This window comes from Homo sapiens, chromosome 2 (assembly GCF_000001405.40).
Source record: "Homo sapiens chromosome 2, GRCh38.p14 Primary Assembly".
Lineage (NCBI taxonomy): Eukaryota > Metazoa > Chordata > Mammalia > Primates > Hominidae > Homo > Homo sapiens.
This window is the reverse complement of record NC_000002.12, coordinates 206314527-206336588: the sequence shown is the minus strand read 5'-3', so window position 1 is coordinate 206336588 and position 22062 is coordinate 206314527. Positions and strand designations below refer to the sequence as shown.

The 22062-nt window shown below is 41.0% G+C and overlaps 2 annotated features.

Moving 5' to 3' along the window:
* Positions 6335–7324: an enhancer, noted in NCBI's record as "OCT4-NANOG-H3K27ac hESC enhancer chr2:207193989-207194978 (GRCh37/hg19 assembly coordinates)". NCBI's record gives its function as "activates a minimal SCP1, AML or CMV promoter by ChIP-STARR-seq in primed H9 embryonic stem cells {active_cell/tissue: H9 hESC(primed)}" and the evidence as "EXISTENCE:reporter gene assay evidence [ECO:0000049][PMID:30033119]".
* Positions 7325–8315: an enhancer, noted in NCBI's record as "OCT4-NANOG-H3K27ac hESC enhancer chr2:207192998-207193988 (GRCh37/hg19 assembly coordinates)". NCBI's record gives its function as "activates a minimal SCP1, AML or CMV promoter by ChIP-STARR-seq in primed H9 embryonic stem cells {active_cell/tissue: H9 hESC(primed)}" and the evidence as "EXISTENCE:reporter gene assay evidence [ECO:0000049][PMID:30033119]".

Sequence of the window (22062 nt, the reverse complement as noted above, 5' to 3'; positions counted from 1 at the left end):
GGCTGACTCTCAGTCCAAACCCACAAGTCTAGGTCAGATCTGCTTTACATTTTCGTGGCCCTCTCTATTTTTCCTGGGTAGGACTTATCACGCTGTAAGTATTGGTTATGTCATTATTTGTTTAATTTTTGTCTTCTCAACGAGACTGCAAGTGTCAAATGGACCTATGTGCCTTGTGCGTGGCTGTATCTTTTGTGCTTAGCAGGGAGCCTGGCACATAAGCAATGATCAATAAATATTTGCTGAATAAATGAATGAAGAGAGAAGGAAGCAGGAGGGTAATGCCTGGGACTCACTCAGAGGATTAAAGACTAGGAAAGGATAAAGCGCAAGTTGGTCAGAATGAAAGTAGATGAATAAGGGATGGAGGACTGTATATATGTGCATCCAATCTTGTGCCATGTTTCCATTTTCTTGTATCATTATCACTATGTTGCTAAACTACTGTTAAGCTTTTGGTTAATTCCAACACACAGATTTGACACGTATTTACAATTTTTTCTCAGAGCAATTATTCTGTGCTTTGAATAGAGCAGACCCTCAAATTTATTTTTAAAAAGTGTTGTCTGAACAAGCAAGATGTGTCACCATGTTGAAGGTCACTGCATCAGATAACTTCCCTGACAAGAAGCTTTTAAGTTCTTAGGATCATAGCACTTTTTCTTAGCAGAGATTTGATCAAACTTCCCAATTATTCTTCACAGCAAGACAACTGCATATCTTGGTTCCCTCAAAGCAGTAGTATCTATGGATATCTATTTTTTCTCACTGGCTACTACTAACACATAAAGCGAGTCCTTCACTATCACCTGAAGACACACTGGAATTCTCTTTTTGCATATCCTCATGACGATTTTAAAAACCTTTTTAGTATAACTCTCCACTCACATAACAACTTCTTAATCTTGTTCTTGCTTAAACTGAAACTGGCCTCAATCAAAATGTGTCCTTAAAAAATATAGAACTTCGCCAGGCGCGGTGGCTCACATCTGTAATCCCAGCACTTTGGGAGGCCGACACAGGTGGATGACGAGATCAGGAGTTCGAGACCACCCTGACCAACATGGTGAAATCCCGTCTCTACTAAAAATTAAAAATTAGTCAGGCGTGGTGGCATGCACCTGTAATCCCAGCTACTTAGGAGGCTGAGGCAGGAGAATGGCTTGAACCCGGGAGCCGGAGGTTGCACTGAGATGAGATCACACCACTACACTCCAGCCTGGGCAACAGAGCAAGACTCCCTCTCAAAAAAAAAAAAATTATATAGTTATATATATATATATATATATAGTTGCTTATCAATAAATGTTACCCATTTCCAATAGCAAGTAATAGAAACAGAATTCATATTGAAAATGCTCTCCTTTTAGATTCCAATATAATAATGATTAATTTTGGAATGTGAAAATGCACTTTCCCAGTATGAAATACCATAATTGATTTCTGCCTTTTTCTCTGTTCTTATAGGTGACTTATATCCTTGGAACTTCTACAGTTCTATAGAAGCTGAATAACTTCATTTTTCAAGCTGAAAGATTATGTTTTATCTCATCAACCTATTTCTTACCAACTATAAAATATTTATAAAATTCCACTGATGAATTTGTTGCTCTAGCTTGTAAGATAAACCATATGAACTAAGTGATATAAGTAAATAAGTAAACAAGCCACATGATAAACAGATAATTGGTAGATTAAACAATTCAAATACTCTTTGTCCAAGCCTAATTTCAATGAAAAATTGTGATGTTTGCAGCTCCCAACCTCCTCAGGGTTCCTTGACTGAGATGATGAAGGCTTAAGCTCCTAGGAGAACAACATGCTGCAAGTCAGCAGCTCTCAAAGGATGACCTGTGGACTGTTGGGAATCTGGAAGACCCTTTCAGGGAGTCCATGAGATAAAAAATTAATTTTATAATATTACTAAGACATAATTTGGGGGTTCTGCTTCCGCCTCCCACCATGTTAACACTTCTATTGATATCACAAAGCAATAGCGAATAAAACTGCTGCCCCTCAGTACATCTCAAGATAGTGGCACCAAACTATGCTAGTGGTCCTCATATTCTTTACCAACATGTACTTACTGGAGGGGGAAAAGGTCAGTTTCACTTAATAGTGCCCTTGATAAAAGCAAAAAAAAAATTGTTAATTTTGTTAAATCTGAACTGTTGGGAACATGTCTTTTAAAATATTCTGTAAGATGAAATGGAAAATACGCAGAAGGAACTTCTACTGCATGCTAAAATAAAATAGTTTTGTCTCTAGGAAGAGCATTTGTGCAGTTGATTCGCGAGCTGAACTAGCTGCTTTTTCACATAACACTATTTTTACTAGAAAGAACAACTGACAGGCACAATGCTAATTCAGATTTGGGTATTTGGCAGACATTTTATTGAAAATGAACACAGTGAGACTTCAACTTCAAGGAAAACAGCTGACAATTTTGTTACTAATGATAAAATGCTGGCTTTAAAGTAAACACTAAGATTTTGGAAAACTTGTATCCGACACTAAGTACATAACAGTTTACCCATACTTAAAGACTTTTATGATTAAATTGGTAATAATATAACAAATGTGCTTTTTTGATATTGTATAATGAAATGTGCCAACATTTGAAAGATCTGCACAACTCAGGGAAAGGGTACTTTCCAGACAACTAATGCATAATGTTACAAAATCATGCATGGGTAAAAGATCCATTCAAAGTGCAAATTAGACCAATGGATTTGAATGTAAGAAAGTATAAAAAGATCACTAGCATGGGGCCAGGTGCAGTGGCTCATGCCTGTAATCCCAGCACTTTGGGAGGCCGAGGCAGGTGGATCACCTGAGGTCAGGAGTTCGAGACCAGCCGGGCCAACATGGTGAAACCCCATCTTTACTAAAAAGACAAAAATTAGCTGGGCATGGTGGCGAGCACCCATAATCCTGGCTACTCGGGAGGCTGAGGCAGGAGAATTGCTTGAACCTGGAAGGTGGAGGTTACAGTGAGACGAGATCACACCACTGCACTCTAGCCTGGGCAGCAGAGCAAGACTGCATCTCAAAAAAAAAAAAAAAAAAAAAAGATCACTGGTATGGTTTTACATTCCACATTGCAACTAATCTTTAAGAAACTACCACTTACCAAATTTTGGTGAAATTTCAAAGAACAAGATCAATAATTATCTGACAAGCTATTAAAATACTCCTTGTTCATTCTAATTTATATCTCTATGAAGCCAAATTTTCTTTATAGTTATATAGAAGCCACATTTTACAACAGATTGAATGCAGAGGAAGATATAAGAATCCAACAGTCTTCTATTAAATCGAACACTAGAATTTTTTTTTAATGTCAAACAATGTCACTCTTCCCACTAATTTTTTGTTTTGGAAAATATAATTCTCTTTTATTTAAAATGTGTTATTTGTGTTAGCATATACTAGGATTATTGTTGCTGTTTTTAATTGAATTAATAAGTAAAAATGTTAAACCTTTCTTAGTTTTAATTTCTAATGCAATACATATCAATAGATGTAACCCAAAAGTTCTTTGGGATCCTTAGTAATTTTGAAGAGTGTGAGACATCCTGAGCTCAGAAAGCTTGAGAACTTCTACTTGAGATGCTAATGTACTTATTTTGCCCAAGCCAGTTTGAGTCTGTTTTTTGCCATTTGCAACAAAAGTCAGAACTGATATAGGGGAAGAGGAAAGGAGCTGAGTTCCAAGTTTAGGAACATTCCAATGCCAAGATAAAGAATCAGCCTCAATATTCAGAACAAACAACAAGAATTCAGTGAACGCAAAATATAGGAACCAGAGGTGATTGTGATAATTTAAGCCTTCCTTGCTCTCCCAACTCAAGGATCTATAAAAACACTGGAAACCAAGAGGTCAATTTGATCAGGTCTGCCTGCCCTTCTTGCTTGTGTTCACTTGCTTTTTGTGTTTTGGGTGTTTTTTTGTTTGTTTTTTGTTTTCTTTTTCCACGAAGCTGGAGGCCTTGCCACTGAATGTCAAAACTTAACCTTCACTGGCTACTTTAGAGGTAACATTCATAGATCACCATAGGAATGGCCGCTTCAGCTGTTTTTCAGAAACTTGGGCCAGCTCCTGTCCAGTTCAAACTAGTGGAGACCACCAGCCCCTCAACTGGGCCTGTGCAAGTGCCTGAGGGGTGGTTTTTTGACATCAGAAGGCCGAAAACTTCACCCTTAGATTATGGTAACACCACCATTTTCTGTACATATGTCCTACAAAATGCCATGAACTTCAGCTACATTTGTACAGAATAAACCTGTTGCTTCATTTTTCCCCACTACCAATCACCTTTCTCCACACCTTAGACCACCCACTTCCCTAATGCATAAACATCCCTAAGCCTTATATTTGGGGAGGTGGATTTGAGAGCTGTTCTCCTGTCTCTTCAATCAGTGCCCTTGCAAATAAGTCTTTTCTCTTTTGTAAAACTCATGTCACAGTGATTGATTTACTACTCACAGGCAGAACAGACTTGGACTTGCTGGAAATATATTGAGGGCATTTTGGACTTTCTACCAGATTCAGAATTGAGATCTATTCAAAATATTAAGAGGAACAATGATTCAAATTGACATCTGGGTAACACATTGTTCAAATAAAAATTTTTTACCTATAGAAATTTGATTTCAAGAAATTATACCCAAAAGTCCATCACTGATGGACAAACCAAAGGGGGTATAGCTGCACATTGCAATATTATTTGACCATGAAAAAGAATGAAGTACTGATTCATGCCACAACATTCATGGATGAACCTTGAGAACATAATGATACGTGAAAGAAACTGGGCCAAAGAGCAACATATTTTATGATTGCTTTTATTTATTTATTTATCTGTCGAGATGGAATCTCACTCTGTTGCTCAGGCTGGAGTGCAGTGGTGCAATTTTGGCTCACTGCAACCTCCACCTCCCAGATTCAAGTGATTCTCCTGCCTCAGCCTTCCTAGTAGCTGGGATTAAAGGTGCCCACCACCACACCTGGCTATTTTTGTATTTTTAGTAGAGATGGGGTTTCACCACATTGGTCAGGCTGGTCTCAAACTCCTGACCTCAGGTGATCCACCTGCCTCAGCCTCCCAAAGTGCTGGGATTACAGGCATGAGCCACCGCACCCAGCAAATTGCCTTTATATGAAAGGTCAGAACAGGCAAATTCATAGAGACTTAACATGGACTTGTGATTGCTAGGAAGCAGAGTGAGAGGAGATGCTGAGCGACTGCTGTGGGGGATGGGGTTTCTTTTAGGGATGATGAAAATGTTCTGGAATTAGATAGTGGTAATGGTTGTACAACTTGTGACTACATTAAAAATCAATTATACACTTTAAAGTGGTGAATTTTATAATATGTAAATAATGTCTGAGCTTTTAAAATTACATAAAATAAATTATAAACTCGGTGTACTAGTTTCCATGGCTGCTGTAACAAACAACTATAAAGGTGTAACCTGTGGCTTAAAACAACAGAAATGTATTCTCTCACAGTTCTGAGGCCAAAAGTCTGAAATCGAGGTGTCAGCAGAGCTCCACTCCCTCTGGAAGCTCTATGAGAGATTCTATTCCTTGCCTGACAGCTTTGGTGGCTGCTGGCATTCCTTAGTCACATTACTCCAATCTCTGCCTCTGTCCTCACATTGCCTTCTTGTGCGTGCGTGCGTGCGTGCGTGCGTGTGTGTGTGTGTGTGTGTGTGTGTCCCCTTTGTCTCTGCCTCTTTCTTTTTCTTTTTCTTTTTTTTTTTTTTGAGACGGAGTCTTGCTCTGTCGCCCAGGCTGGAGTGCAGTGGCGCGATCTCGGCTCACTGCAAGCTCCGCCTCCCGGGTTCACGCCATTCTCCTGCCTCAGCCTCCCGAGTAGCTGGGACCACAGGCGCCCGCCACCACGCCCAGCTAATTTTTCGTATTTTTAGTAGAGACGGGGTTTCACCGTGTTAGCCAGGATGGTCTCCATCTCCTGACCTCGTGATCCGCCCGCCTCAGCCTCCCGAAGTTCTGGGATTACAGGCATGAGCCACCGCACCTGGCCGCCTCTGCCTCTTTCTAGTAAAGACACTTGTAGCATTTAGGGACCATCAAGATCATCTCATCTCAAGGTCCTCAACTGAATCATATCTGCAAAGACCCATTTTCCAAATATTCACAGGTTCTAGTGATTCTGAGGTGGACATATCTTTGAGAGTCATTATCAACCTACCACACCTGGGTTTAGAGATAAATAACTGATGTGGTATGGCAGCCATCCATGCGTGCCACTTGGATTTTCCTTCAAGAAATAACTTGCCTCTCACTCACAAGTGGGAGTTGAACAATGAGAACACACGGACACAGGGAGGGGAACATCACATACTGGGGCTTGTCGGGGGGTTGGGGGCAAGGTAGGGGAGAGCATTAGGACAAATACTTAATGCATGCGGAGCTTAAAACCTAGATGACTGATAGGTGCAACAAACCACCATGGCACATGTGTATCTATGTTACAAACCTGCACAATCTGTACACGTATCCCAAAACTTAAAGTAAAATAAAAAAGGAAAAAAACAACAAAAACAAAAAACGAACTTGCCAATCAGCATGAAGCTGTATATTAGATGGCAGCCTCCAGCTATATCACCTTCAGGATATGCCACATCATTTGAGCTGAAGCCGCATTCTTCTCAAGCAGTCCCAAGCCAGTAACTGAGTCTGGCAGATATATGAGAAGCTAGTCATTCACCCAGCATGGAATTCATCTCCTGGCAGTCTTTACGCCAGAGCTCCCCATTGGCTTGGCTGAGATTTAGCTCTTCCTCCTTAATCTACCTCTCTTCTCCTTCTCCTTACCTGCCTATTCTTATTTCTTCTCCCTTTTATATTTCACCAGGTTACTCTCATGAATCTCTTGCATTGCCAACTTGGACTTGGCATCTTCTCCCTTAGAGAAACCAGACTTAATCATTGATAACTGAGAGTGGTCCCAGACAGCAGATAGCAAGATGGACCTCGGGGATTAGGTAACTCACTTCCTCACTAGAAATGATGACCCCATGCCCCAGTGGCATGACTAGTCTCTGGTAGAAGGTAGAGGTCTGTTTGCTAAACTTTTACCAATGGTGACTCAGGACAGTATTCCGGTGGAGGCAACTTCTCTGGCCAGTGCAATAATTCAGGCAGTTGAGGGTGGACGATGCATACAAGGACAATGGAATTGGCTGGTTGTTATTAATTTGTATTGATGCCATACAATAGGACAATGAGAAATTGAAGGCAGTTAACAAACATTTAAAAACTAAGTATGAGAGCCAAAGGACCTCTCTGGCAGCTTACAAAGAGGCCTTTATCTCCTGCAGTGAGAGAACAGACACAGCTGTGGAGCAAATTCAGGGTAGCCAAACTTCAAAGACAATGAAAACTCAGCCAAGGCAAGTCTGTTATGCTAAGATCAGGGCTTTGTTTAGAAACTATGGGACCCTGAATCATGGGATGTGAATGAATCCTCAAAGACTTTGGCTCTCAGAACCTGCTGAGGTTCCCTACCCCTCCCTATTAAGAGTTAGTGATTCTTCCACGAGGCCCTATTTTGAGTTAGCATTTCCCCTATGTGAAAAGACCCCTCCCCTGCAAGACAACTGATCTCCCTTCAGAAGCTGACCCCACTTCTCACCTGGCTTCCAGATTGATAACTAGGGTTAAATCTCAACTAAAACAACTGGCACATACTGGCAATGATAAGACATATTACATCCTAAAGGAGCTGCAAGGATTAGCTAGGATATACTAGCAGAAACCATTGAATTGGATTTTGAGTATGCCTGATCAACTGCTGTTTGTTTAAGAGTTTATTGACTTAGGAGCACTTTCTCAGAACATGGGACTTAACACCCTAGCAAGGGAATGGGACAAACTAACTGAAACGGTGGTTTTATTTTATTTTTTGAGATGGAGTTTCACTTTAGTCGCCCAGGCTGGAGTGCAATGGTGCAATCTCGACTCACTGCAATCTCTGCCTCCCGGGTTCAAGAGATTCTTCTGCCTCAGCCTCCTGAGTATCTGGGATAACAGGCATGCACCACCATGCCCAGCTAATTTTCACCATATTGGCCAGGCTGGTCTCGAACTCCTGACCTCAGGTGATCCACCCGCCTTGGCCTCCCAAAGTGCTGGGATTACAGGCGTGAGCCATCACACCTGGCCTAAGAGTGGTTTTAAAAACCTGGAGAAAGTGATGGCCCATGCTGAGTGGACTTGCAATGCATGAATTGCTATAACAAGCAGGGGCGAAATAATGACAATGCAGGGAAATAGGCATGGTGGAATGTATGTATTATGTAGGGCCAGAAGACCAATCAGAGGATTATGCTTCATAGGAGAACCTAGAAGACACCTCATTCACAGAGGCCATCAGAAATGCAGTGGTTAGAGAAGTACCAGCATCACTAAGGAATTCAGTGGTGATCCTCTTCCACAGTCCAGGGCTGACAAAAGGAGAAGCAATCTCAGAGAGTAGCTTGCTAATAGCAGTGGTGACAATGAGTCCCTGAAATAGTACAGGCCAGGTGGTGGTAGAAAACTGCCCAGCAGAAGTCCGCCATAAGGATAGAAAAGGGTACACCTGGGATCAGCCCAGGCAGAACAAGTAGCACGTGTGACCTGCCTGAGGCGGTAGCGCAGGCTCCCACTTCCTTCTTTAGCTTATACCTACTGGTCATACAGAGGGTCCCACATGACCAGCTGAAGTCAGAAGAGACAGCCTGAGCTTCATTTGTAAATGTGTTGGCTCTGTTTGTGTGTAAAAGCTGAAAATAAATGAGGCTGCTTTACAATCCCCTTCAGGACTGCCCTTGAAAAAGAGTAGGGAGAGACAATCTTTCCAATGACAGAAGCTTCACCAGGTACACTTGGTCATTCACTTTGTGTGGAAAGAGAGGTGATCTGACATAAGAATACATATGGAATCATGGGCAGTAATTAATGGCGCAGGAGGCTGGTCAAGGGCCTAGAAAGCAAATTCTGAGAGACTGATGCAAAGAATTCTGGAGTAGGGGCAAGTGGGTGGACGTATGGAGATGAGCACAAAGTGTAAATTGTTGTATCACACATTAATGCCCACCAGAAAGCATGTACCAGAGAAGAGGCAACAAGCAACCAAGTAGATAAAATGGCTCAGCCAGTTGACATTAGCCAGCCTTCATTATCCATCACTTAAGAACTGGAAAGGGCTGGGTGCGGTGGTTCACGCCTGTAATCCCAGCACTTTGGGAGGCCAAGGTAGGCAGATCACCTGAGGTCAGAAGTTCGAGAACAGCCTGACTAACAAGGTGAAATCCCATCTCTACTAAAAGTACAAAAATTAGCCAGGCATGGTGGCACATGCCTGTAGTCCCAGCTCATCAGGAAGCTGAGGCAGGGGAATCACTTGAACCCAGAGGTGGAGGTTGCAGTGAGCCAAGATCAGGCCACTGCACTCTAGCCTGAGTGACAAAGTGAGACTCCATCTCAAAAAATAAAATAAAATACAACTGAAACGACTGGCATGCAAATGGAGTAGTTACCCTGGCAAAGATGGGGAAACATATGGACCCAACAGCATAGACAACAGCATTTACTCGCCAGCGCTCATCTAGGTACTGTTATCACTGAATGTCTAATCTGCCAACAATAGACACCAATATTGAACCCATGAGATGGCACTGTTCCTCGAGGGGACCAACTAGCCATTTCTGGCCAAACTGACTACATTGGACCTCTTATGTCATGGAAGGACCATTGATTTGTTCTCTCAGGAATAAACACTTACTTCAAATAAGGGCTTGTCTTTCCTGCCTACACCTTTCCTGCCAGCACCATGATCTGGGGGCTTACAGAAGCTAATCTGCAGGCATGAAATCACGCACAACATAGCGTCCAACCTACTTTATAGCAAAGGAAGTAGAGTAGTGGGTCCATGACCATGGGATCCTCTGGTCATACCAGACACAATGCCATCCAAAATGCAACCAGGCTGCTAGAGCTGGCTGGCTGGTGAGATGACCTGCCAAGACCCAAGCTGAGGGGCAACACTGTAGCAAACCCTGAAGAAGCTGCTCCCGATATGTGTGTGGAGAAGTGGATCTGCTTGGCATCGGAGGACTGTGGTAACCACGAAGTGCACCTCGTGGATCTCCCTTCAAGAACTTGAAGTATAAGGGCTCAGCCCATGATCCTCCTGGATAGCCCCCAGCTAATGACTGAGCCATTGCTGCCCGAGATGGAACTCATCTATGGGAAATCTTTATACCGGAGCTTTCTGGTGGGCTGGCTGAGACTTTCTCAGACAGGCACCATAGTCTGTGGCTCTTCCCACACAACCCTCTTTCTTTCCCCCATCTCCTTTCATAGGCATCAGACTTGCACTGCATCTGAAGACTTCCTCTGCCTCCTCTCGTTCCTCCTTCTTTCTAGTTCCCAGGCAGTTTTGACAGGTGTCTTTCACAATACAGCTCTTGCATGTCTAACCCATCCCAGTGTCTCCTTCCTGGAGGGCCTAAACTGACACGTGATCGATTTTTCTTACCAGCCAATCTAATAAAATTAACTTATATTTCTTACTTCACCATCACCCCACCAATGGGCTTCTATATAACAACACACAATGAAGTACTCATTAAGGATCTCAATTTGTACTGTTAGCTACAATACCTGCAATAGGCCTAAAGTCACTAATTCATTCATTCAACAATTATTTATGAAGTATCTACTCTATTCTAGATACTCTGGTACGCAATGGGAATACAACAGGAACTAAAACACAAAAAAGTTCTTCTCTTCATGAAACTTACATTCTAATGAGACACACAGGCAGACAGACAATTAAAAAGATAGACCAGGCTGAATGCGGTAGCTCATGCCTGAAATCCCAGCACTTTGGGAGGCCGAGGCGGGAAGATCACTTGCGTCCAGGAGTTCAGGAAGAGCCTGGGCAACATAAGGAGACCCCTTCTCTATAAAAAGTAAAAAAAATTAGCCAGGCATGGTGGTGGGTACCCCTAGTGCTAGTCACTCGGGAGGCTGAGGTGGGAGGATTGCTTGAGCCTGGGAGATCCAGGCTGCAGTGAGCTATGATGGCGCCACTGGATTTCAGCCTGGGCGACAGAGTGAGACCCAGTCTCAAAAAAAAAAAAAAAAAAAAAAAAGACCAGCAGAAAGATGGAAAAGATGCATATCGCTTTTTATTCCTCAATGGATTTGCCTTTCACAGTATGACAGTGCAAACATCAGCCTCAGCTTTTTATTATGAACAAATAGAAGAAACAACCATATGTACAATCTCTGTTGCATTTTTTTTCGGTAGAATGACTAAAATGGAAAGTTATTAGAGAGTATTTTTAAATGAAATTCAATGAAGGAGGAAAAACAAACTGTCTTCTGCATAATAAGAAGCCAAAAGCTGTGTGGGAATTGACACCACAGAGTCAGAGGGAGAGGACACACACACACACACACGCACACACACACGAGAAGGCAATGTGAGGACAGAGGCAGAGATTGGAGTAATGTGGCCGAGGCATGCCAGCAGCCACCAAAGCTGTCAGGCAAGGAACAGACTCTCTCATAGAGCTTCCAGAGGGAGAAGAGGCCCGCCGACAACTTGATTTCAGATATTTGGCCTCAGAATTGTGAGAGGGTAAATTTCTGTTGTTTTACACCACAAGTTCCAAGTTGATGGTTGGTTGTTACAGCAGCCATGGAAACTAATATACCAAGTTTATAATTTATCTTATGTAATTTAAAAAACTCAGACATAATTTACATATAAAATTCACCCTTTTAAATGGTATAAGTAATTTTTAATGTAGTTACAAGTTGTACAACCATTACCACTATCTAATTCCAGAATATTTTTATCAACCCCCCAAAAAAACCCATTAGCAGTCACTGTCCATCTCCCTTTTCCTGTTTCCTAGCAATCACTGCTCTATGTCTTGAATTTGCCTGCTCTGAACCATTCATAGAAATGCAATCATACAAAATATTGCTTTTTGGTCTGGTTTCTTTAACTTAGCATCATGTTTTCAAGGTTCATTCATGTTGTAGCATGAGAGAAATTAACCCTTCCAGAATCCTTCAGTGTTAGGTATTTGAATTTTAATATATGTCAATTATATACATAATTTTATTTATGTATAATTTTTTTTTCAAGGCCAATTATAAAGAAAAAAGAAGTAAGCTGCCACACCAAGTCTATGGCCCTCAGTGAATCTCAGGAACTTCTTCTGTCCAACTTTGAAAATTAGGGGAAAAAGCAACAAAACAAAACTCATACCCTACAACAAAGTATGGAAAATTAAAAGCTATCTAAGAACCAGGATCTGGACTTAAAAGTCTGTGGGCTAATCCCACAGAGGAGGGGAGACCAGCCAGGTGAGAGAGTGGCCCCCCCAGGTCTGGGTTGAGAGGCCTCCCACACTGGGATCAGGGCCCCATAAAGCACAGAGCAGCAAGCAGGGCCAAGACCAAGGCCTGGTGGACAGATTCAATCAGAGGAGACACACGAGCCCTTTTTAGACTTAGACAATGTATTTCTTACCTAGAGAGAAGGTAGCCAAAAGTTCCAGCTCCCTGTGATCCTTGTCTCATACAACAAAAAGGATGACCCAAAACAAAGGGGGCCATATGATTGCCACGTGAGCTGTGGGACATCACATTGCTGAGAAGCTAATTCTAAACTTAAGGTAGGAAGTTTTATAGTCTGCAGCTGTAATCTAAGGCAGACTACTTCATACCTCACCAGAACCCAGGAGGCCATGAAAGACTCCAAAGAGATGGCCTTGGAGCCACTAATCACGGGCCTCGCTTTCTGTCATGTGCTGGGAGAATAAGGTGCTTCTGCCAAGACTCAGGTTAGCTGTAGTTCCAGCCTTTGCCTGCAGAGCCTATGTGGATATATCCAAGGTCGCCCAATGTGCCATACTGGAGCCATTCCCCTAGTGACCCCACAGGGAGCCTCTCATTAGGAATCTCATGTAAAGACAATAAACTTCTGGAGTTCTGTGTGTGCTTTCTTGCAAAGGACAGGAGGACACCGATTGTTCAACCAATCATACTCAGTAGGGACAGCCAGGGAGGCTAAGAATTCCTGATCTAGAGGTCATATGATTGTTAAACTGCACATAGTACCAGTTTAATTAATATTCTTTCCCACTTCCAAGACAAGGAAATTAGTGCCTGGGCTATAGGAATAATGACACCTAATAATACAGTCATGTGCCACAAAACAATGTTTTGGTCAAGAACAGACTGCATATATGATGGTGGTCCCATAAGATTATGATGGAGCTGAAAAATTCCTATCACCTAGTGACGTCATAGCCATCTCAATGTTGTAATGCGACATTACATTTTGTGTTTGTGATGATGCTCATGTAAAACTCATCATGCTGCCAGTCACATAAAACTATAGCACATACAATTATGCACAGTACATAACACCTGATAGTGGTAATAAGCGACTATGCTACTGGTTTATGTATTTACTGTGCTATACTTTTTATTGTTATTTTAATAGAATGTACTCCTTTTACTTAGGTTTTTTTTTGTTTTTGTTTTTTTCGAGACGTTGTCTCACTCTGTCACCCAGGCTAGAATGCAGTGGAGTGATCTTGGTTCACTGTAACCTCTGCCTCCTGGGTTCAAGAGATTCTCCTGCCTCAGCCTCCTGAGTAGCTGGGATTACGGGTGCACACCACCACACCCAGCTAATTTTTGTGTTTTTAGTAGAGGCAGGGTTTCACCATGTTGGCCAGGCTGGTCTCAAACTCCTGACCTCAAGCAATCTGCCCGCCTCAGCCTCCCAAAGTGCTGGGATTACAGGCTTGAGCCACGGCACCTGGCTCCTTTTATTTGTTAAAAGGTTAACTATAAAACAGCCTCAGACAAGTTCTTTAGAAGGTGTTTAAGAAGAAGGCATTTTTATCACAGGGATGACAGCTCCATGCCTGTTACTGCCCCGAAGACCTTCCATTGGGCAAGATGTGGAGGTGGCAGACAGTGATACTGAAGATCCTGACCCTGTGTAGGCCCAGGCTAATGTGTGTGTTTGTGACTTAGTTTTTACCAAAAAAAGTTAAAAGTTAAAAAAAAAGGAAATAGAAAAAAACTTATAGAGTATGAATATAAAAAAGAAAATATTTTTGTACAGCTATACAAAGTATTTAATAAGTGTGATTATAACATCAAAAAGGTTAAAAAATTGAAAAGCTTAGAAAGTAAAAACATTACGGTAAGCTAAGGTTATTATCAAAGAAAAATATTTTTTCATAAATTTAGTGTAGCTAAATGTAGGGTGTTTATAAAAGTCTACAGTAGTAAACAGTAATGTCATAGGCCTTCACATTCACTCATCACTCACTCACTCACCCAGAGCAATGTCTAAACTGCAAGTTCCATTTATGCTAAATGCCCTATACAGGTGTACTATTTTTTATATTTTATACCATATTTTCAATATTTTATACCATATTTATTTTGTTGGCAGTTTACTGATTCCACATATATGTTTTGAAAACTTACTATCAGCCAGATATTGAATCACACTGATATGGTTTGCCTCTGTATCCCCACCCAAATCTCATCTCAAATTGTAATCCCCATGTGTCGAGGGAGAGAGGTGATTGGATCATGGGGGTGGTTTCCCCCATGCTGTTCTTGTGATAGTGAGTTCTTACGAGATCTGATGGTTTTATAAGGCAGTTTTCCCTGCTCTTGCATGCTCTCTCACCTGCCACTATGTAAGATGTGCCTGCTTCCCCTTCCACCATGATTGTAAGTTTCCTGGGGCCTCCCCAGCCATGAAGAACTATGAGTCAATTAAATCTCTTTTCTTTATAAACAACCCAGTCTCAAGTGTGTCTTTACAGCAGTGTGAAAATGGACTAATACACACATGCTGGGTAGAAATTGGTGAGTAAACAAGGCACCATTCTCATGAAGTCTCTATGCTAGTAGGGAAGACAGGCACACAATAAATATATATACACAAGTGATGCTAAGTGGAAAGAAGGAAAACCATTTATTTCAGTAGGCATATTGACAGACACAAAAATGTAATGTACACAATAACTATTAACACCTTTAAGGAGTCTACATAACCTAGTGGACAAGGTTTACACATTTTTATTAAGAAATATATTTTAAAAAGCTTTTCAACTTTATAATTTTTATTTTATTTTTTCTTTTTTATTATTATACTCTAAGTTTTAGGGTACATGGGCTCAATGTGCAGGTTAGTTACATATGTATACATGTGACATGCTGGTGCGCTGCACCCACTAACTCGTCGTCTAGCATTAGGTATATCTCCCAATGCTATCCCTCCCCCCTCCCCCCACCCCACAACAGTCCCCAGAGTCTGATGTTCCCCTTCCTGTGTCCATGTGTTCTCATTGTTCAATTCCCACCTATGAGTGAGAATATGCGGTGTTTGGTTTTTTTGTTCTTGCCATAGTTTACTGAGAATGATGATTTCCAATTTCATCCATGTCCCTACAAATGACATGAACTCATCATTTTTTATGGCTGCATAGTATTCCATGGTGTATATGTGCCACATTTTCTTAATCCAGTCTATCATTGTTGGACATTTGGGTTGGTTCCAAGTCTTTGCTATTGTGAATAGTGCCACAATAAACATACGTGTGCATGTGTCTTTATAGCAGCATGATTTATAGTCCTTTGGGTATATACCCAGTAATGGGATGGCTGGGTCAAACGGTATTTCTAGTTCTAGATCCCTGAGGAATCGCCACACTAACTTCCACAATGGTTGAACTAGTTTACAGTCCCACCAACAGTGTAAAAGTGTTCCTATTTCTCCACATCCTCTCCAGCACCTGTTGTTTCCTGACTTTTTAATGATTGCCATTCTAACTGATGTGAGATGATATCTCATTGTGGTTTTGATTTGCATTCCTCTGATGGCCAGTGATGGTGAGCATTTTTTCATGTGTTTTTTGGCTGCATAAATGTCTTCTTTTGAGAAGTGTCTGTTCATGTCCTTCGCCCACTTTTTGATGGGGTTGTTTTTTTCTTGTAAATCGGTTTGAGTTCATTGTAGATTCTGGATATTAGCCCTTTGTCAGATGAGTAGGTTGCGAAAATTTTCTCCCATTTTGTAGGTTGCCTGTTCACTCTGATGGTAGTTTCTTTTGCTGTGCAGAAGCTCTTTAGTTTAATTAGATCCCATTTGTCAATTTTGGCTTTTGTTGCCATTGCTTTTGGTGTTTTAGACATGAAGTCCTTGCCCGTGCCTATGTCCTGAATGGTAATGCCTAGGTTTTCTTCTAGGGTTTTTATGGTTTTAGGTCTAACGTTTAAGTCTTTAATCCATCTTTAATTGATTTTTGTATAAGGTGTAAGGAAGGGATCCAGTTTCAGCTTTCTACATATGGGTAGCCAGTTTTCCCAGCACCATTTATTAAATAGGGAATCCTTTCCCCATTGCTTGTTTTTCTCAGGTTTGTCAAAGATCAGATAGTTGTAGATATGCGGGGTCTTTTTTCCAGTTTTTCTTTATTGATATTATCTATTTGGTTAAGCATTGTTCTCATATTTTAATTCTTTAGACCTGGTTTCCTTTAGACTTTATTTTTATGTATATATTAATATTTATAATTTTTTTGAGAGAGGATCTCACTCTGTTGTGCAGGTTGGAGTGCAGTGGTGCAATCACAGCTCACTGCAGCCTCAACTTCCTAGGCTCAAACGATCCTCCCACCTCAGCCAGCAGAGTACCTGGGACCACAGGCATGCATGATGGGGTTTCACCATGTTGCCCAGGCTGGTCTTGAACTCCTAGGCTCAAAGCAATCCACCCACCTCAGCCTCCCAAAGTACTGGGATTACAGGCATGAGTCACTGCACCTAGTCTACAATATTTTTATATTTATCCTATAAATAACGTATATTTAATAGCTGGTTTAAAGTATTTGTAAGACCAACAATTAGACCTCTCAGGGATAGTTTCTATTGACAGTTCTTTTCCTGTGTATAGGTCATGCTTTCCTATTTCTTTGCATATTTCAATATTTTTAATTGAAAACTAAGTATTTTAGATAATATAATGTAAAAACTCTGGAAATCAGATATCCCCCACCCTTAGGGTCTGTTGTAATTGCTGTTTTGTTGTTTCTGCTGCTGCTATTTGTTAGCATAGTGACCTTCCAGGACTAATTCAATAGTCTTTATTCCCTGTACTGTACAACCACTAAAGTCTCTGCTCAGTTAACTTAGTGGTCAGCTAATGATTCGACAGACATTTCCTTAAATTCTGTGAATCAATAAATATTCCATTCTTTGCTGAGAAGCTCTAGATGTATCCATGTGTGTTAAGACATGCCCTCAACATTCAGGCAGCTTAGAACTCTGCCTTAGCCTTCACTTCCTACTTGCACAGAAACTCCAATCAGCCAGAGGTGAAAGAGTAGGGCCCTCTCAGGTCTTTCCCAGGCATGCACACAGCTTTTCACATTTATGCAACCTTTTAGGTCCCCAGGAATGTATCAGAGCTTTTCAAAGACCCTGTGGACTGCTTGTTCCCCAGATTTTTTTTTCAAGTTTTGACCAGGCTCTTGTTTGTCCCATCTGGTATCACAGTGTCAAACCACAGAAGTGAAAATAACCAATGTGGGAGAAATTTTAGGTAAATATTCAATAAACCTTTGTGTTAGGATATGGTGCCAAGAAAAGTGAGGAGACAGAAATGATGCTGAGCCTCCTGTGTCATTCTCCCTGACCTAACTGCATTATGTTCATTTGGAGAAGTGGGCAATTCACTAGCAGAATGGACTCTGCTTGAGAAACAGGCTCTCTTCCTTTACTCAGGATGAACTCCCAATGCCCCACTTACCATCATGCACTACCATCAAGCAAATTTTTCTTGAACTGATTTCCACACAGTTTTACTGTGATTCAGAAGAAAAAATTACTTGGCATGAGATGTTAAGCCTTAAATACAATATAATACAAACCCTTCTGCACATCCAAGAAGAAGATAGATTACATATTGAAGACTAAATCTGGATCATTTTTCTACTGGACAGTGGGGCTGAGGAAGGAAATCAGGCTTCATGACCATTCCATACTGTAATTTTAACTCACAGAATCTGCACTAAAAATTCCTTAAGCACTTACACTGTTAACAAGTTCTATTGCTACAACACACCTGCACATAAAAGAAATGTTTACCCATAGTTTCACCTATGGCAAGTGAAAACAGCTGTTTTATGATGGATATGATATAAAAAAAAACCTACTCCAGAATTTAAATTTACACAACTTAAACTACATAATTTAGAATCAGTATACTCAACAATCTCTAAGAAGCAGCAGCCATTCTTAAATTAGCACTTAAAATGTAGTGGCCATTTTTCTTCAGAATAATTCTCATCAACATCTTTAGCTCAAAAGGAACTCACATATTTTCGTTTTGTTTTTATCCAGCCACTTATAACCATCCTCATGTTCTCTCAGATCTCACATGGTCATCCAGTGTAGCCAAAGAAATGTCCTGGCTCCAAATGCAATCTGGCAGTTGCTATTGATTACCCTGGGCAATTTGGGGTTACTGTGATTTGTTCCTCAAAAGACTGTCACACATTATTATGCCACATTCTAAGTTAGACTTGAGATCCTTTCTCTGTAGGAACAAAAAGAAGAACGTTGGAGCTCTGCTAGGTTACAGATGTGTTAAGTAGTAAGCACAGTATGAAAACCTGAAAACTATCAGTTATTATGGCCAAGTGGTTTCTCTGGTTCTATTAAGGCATCAAAGCTACCTCACTAACTCACCTAAATATATCCTAAACATAAGAAGGTCACTGTTTAAAACAGCAGTAATAATCAGTTACTAGGCTACCATTTGACACAGTGAAATAACCACATTCAAACTCAGATTTTCAGGTAGTCAATCAGCTAGTAAAATAGGTCTAGCTCAATGGATGATAAACACCACTCACTTTACTTATTTCATTATCTGTGACCAGTGACAACTCTTGAAAAAAAATAAATAAATAAACCTTCTATTTTTCCAGGTCAAAAAAGCTGACAAAATCTCAACTCAAAAACTTAACATCTGATGAATATACTAACTTCTCCTTAGGATGTCATTTTTTTGCTGTGGCAAGTGAGTCTGTACAACACTATCCTGGTGCACCAAACCAACACAGAGAGCCTTTTCAAAATAACACAAACACAGGAAAACAATCTTTCCTGACAATGATCAGAAACAGCTTGCAATGGGTCTCAGGGAAGAAAGTGGAGGGACTGGTCAATGCCAAAGAGCAGTATCCTGTGAGTGTTAGCTATATGAGTCTATGAATGATCTTTGAAAGCACAAGAATTACGTTGCAAGACCACTGACTTACCACTACTGAAATTCCCTCTCACACATATCAGTGAATGAGGGTGAGCAACCAGAGGCCTGTTTGGTTGATGCCTGGATCCCCGGCACCCACACATGGGTAAGCACGTAGTAGGGGTAGTAAATGTATGAATAAGTGATTGTCTTATCTATGAGTTAAAAGATAATTAGATAAAATTCACCATCAATGCTGCCAGAAAATGTAACTATTTGTTGATAACTCAACCTCAGTGAGAGCCCCCACTTCTGTGATTATGAAAACCTTTTTCCCTAAGGACCAACACTGGATATCTTCTATCATATTTACTCAAATTGACATCACACGGCTCCAGTTACAAAACACTAAGAATACAGAATTTTTGCTCCTCCCCTACAAAAGCAGATTATAAAGAAACATTAAACTGAGTTTCCACCAAAAAAAAAAAAAAAAAAAAAAAAAACTAGTTATCTTCAGTAAGTTTGCTATGAAATGCAAAGAAAGGCTGAGGAACTGCTCCATACTGAAGAAAATTAGAGTCATGCCAGTAGATCCTGGATCAAATCCTGGACCAGGAGAGAACATTCTGGAATAATCCCCCAAACCCGAACAAGGTCTGTGGAGTAGATGGTTTTATCAGATCAACGCTGATTTCCTGATTTTGATGGCATGTGCTGTGGTTATGTAAGAGAGTAATTTTCAAAAAAGAGTGTTCGCCACAACCAGTACACCATCAGCAGTTCCTGGCTCTGTGGCTTATGGAGATTAGAATAATGGGCAACTTGGATAAAATTCTCAGATTCCAATTACCTGCCAGCAACCCACTGTGAAAGCACTGAGAACACAGGGTAATGTGTTGACACTGAAAATGAGAATTCACAGAACAGTGAAAAGAATGCCAGGAAGGGTAGTAAAGGGACAAAAAGTCCAAGGGAGGAAGCACAAGCATCCAGGTATGGAATAAGAGAACTCTAGAAGGCAATGGTCCTGTCTGGTCTTGGGTCTGGGCAGTTACCAAGGATAACACATAGGAGAGGCATAAAGGGAACAGCTAGGCCCAAACCTAGTGGTTTTCTCATATTTGCTACCAGGAGACCAGGTCTGTGTTATTATTTTCATTAAAAACGAACTGTAAGTATTATTCTGCAATAAAAAGGAACAAAATACTGATCCATGCTACAACACAATGACAAAACATCGGGGTAAATGAAAGAAGCCAACAAAAAGGCCACATATTTTACTACTCCATTCATATGAACTATCCAGAAAAGGATATACTATAAAGACAGAAAGTAGATTAGTGCTGGCTTGGAACTGGGGGGTGGGAATGATGATTAACTATAAACTACAATATGCCACAATTTTCTCATTTAATATATTGCGAAAATTACAGTATCTAACTCATAAAGGTCCTTTGAAGACCAAATGAGATAACAGGTTAAAAGCTTAGAACAATCTCTGGCACTCAGCAAGGGCTCAAGATGTTCACTCACACACACCTTTTAACCTTAAAATAATTAAACCTGGAAATAAATTACAACATTCATGTAATAAATTATAAACACAGAAAATTTTAAGTTTATATTACTTAAAGATTCAACAACAAACTATATTTTCTTTACATAGAAGCCCTTTGCTGAAAATGGACTTCCATTTTACATTTTCACTGTAGTAATTTTTTGTTTTTTTTGTTTTTTTTTTGAGACAGAGTCTCGCTCTGTCGCCCAGGCTGGAGTGCAGTGGCACGATCTCGGCTCACTGCAAGCTCCGCCTCCCAGGTTCACACCATTCTCCTGCCTCACCCTCCCGAGTAGCTGGGACTACAGGCACCTGCCACCACGCCCGGTTAATTTTTTGTATTTTGTTTAGTAGAGACGGAGTTTCACCATGTTAGCCAGGATGGTCTTGATCTCCTGACCTCGTGATCCGCCTGCCTCAGCCTCCCAAAGTGCTGGGATTACAGGCGTGAGCCACTGCGCCCGACCATGATTTTTTATTATAAAGATTAGGGGCCGGGCGTCATGGCTCATGCCTGTAATCCCAGCACTTTGGGAGGCCAAGGTGGGTGGATCACCTGAGGTCAGGAGTTCGAGACCAGCCTGGCCAACATGGTAAAACCCCGTCTCTACTAAAAATACAAAAATTAGCTGGGTGTGGTGGCGCATGCCTGTAATCCCAGCTACTCAGGAGGCTGAGACAGGAGAATCACTTGAACCTGGAAGGCGGAGGTTGCAGTGAGCTGAGATTGCACCACTGCACTCCAGCCTGGGCGACAAAGAGAGGCTCTGCCTCAAGAAAGGAAAAAAAAAAAAAGATTAGGATGTTGTTTATCCTGGCAATAACATCTAGGCCAACAAACTCTGGAAGTCAGTACTACTGGTGCCAAAGGCACCTACCTCACTGACACACATACACTTTCTCATGTTTTCTTGTATTTTATAATACTTGCTGTGGTAGTGGAGGCTCCCAAGTTCTCCCTCCCCAGTAGGTGTCAAACAGTGATATAGATACAGCCTCATGAACTCAGTCTTGTTCACGGGCCCTTTCAATACAGGTACACAAAGTGAAAAGCTGCTAATCCACCACTCCACCAGACAAATAAATGGTTTAATTTTAATCCTTTGAAATAACTACTGCATCGAATATAATCTGTATATCTTTGGTTAAACTACTTTCTCACTGGCATCA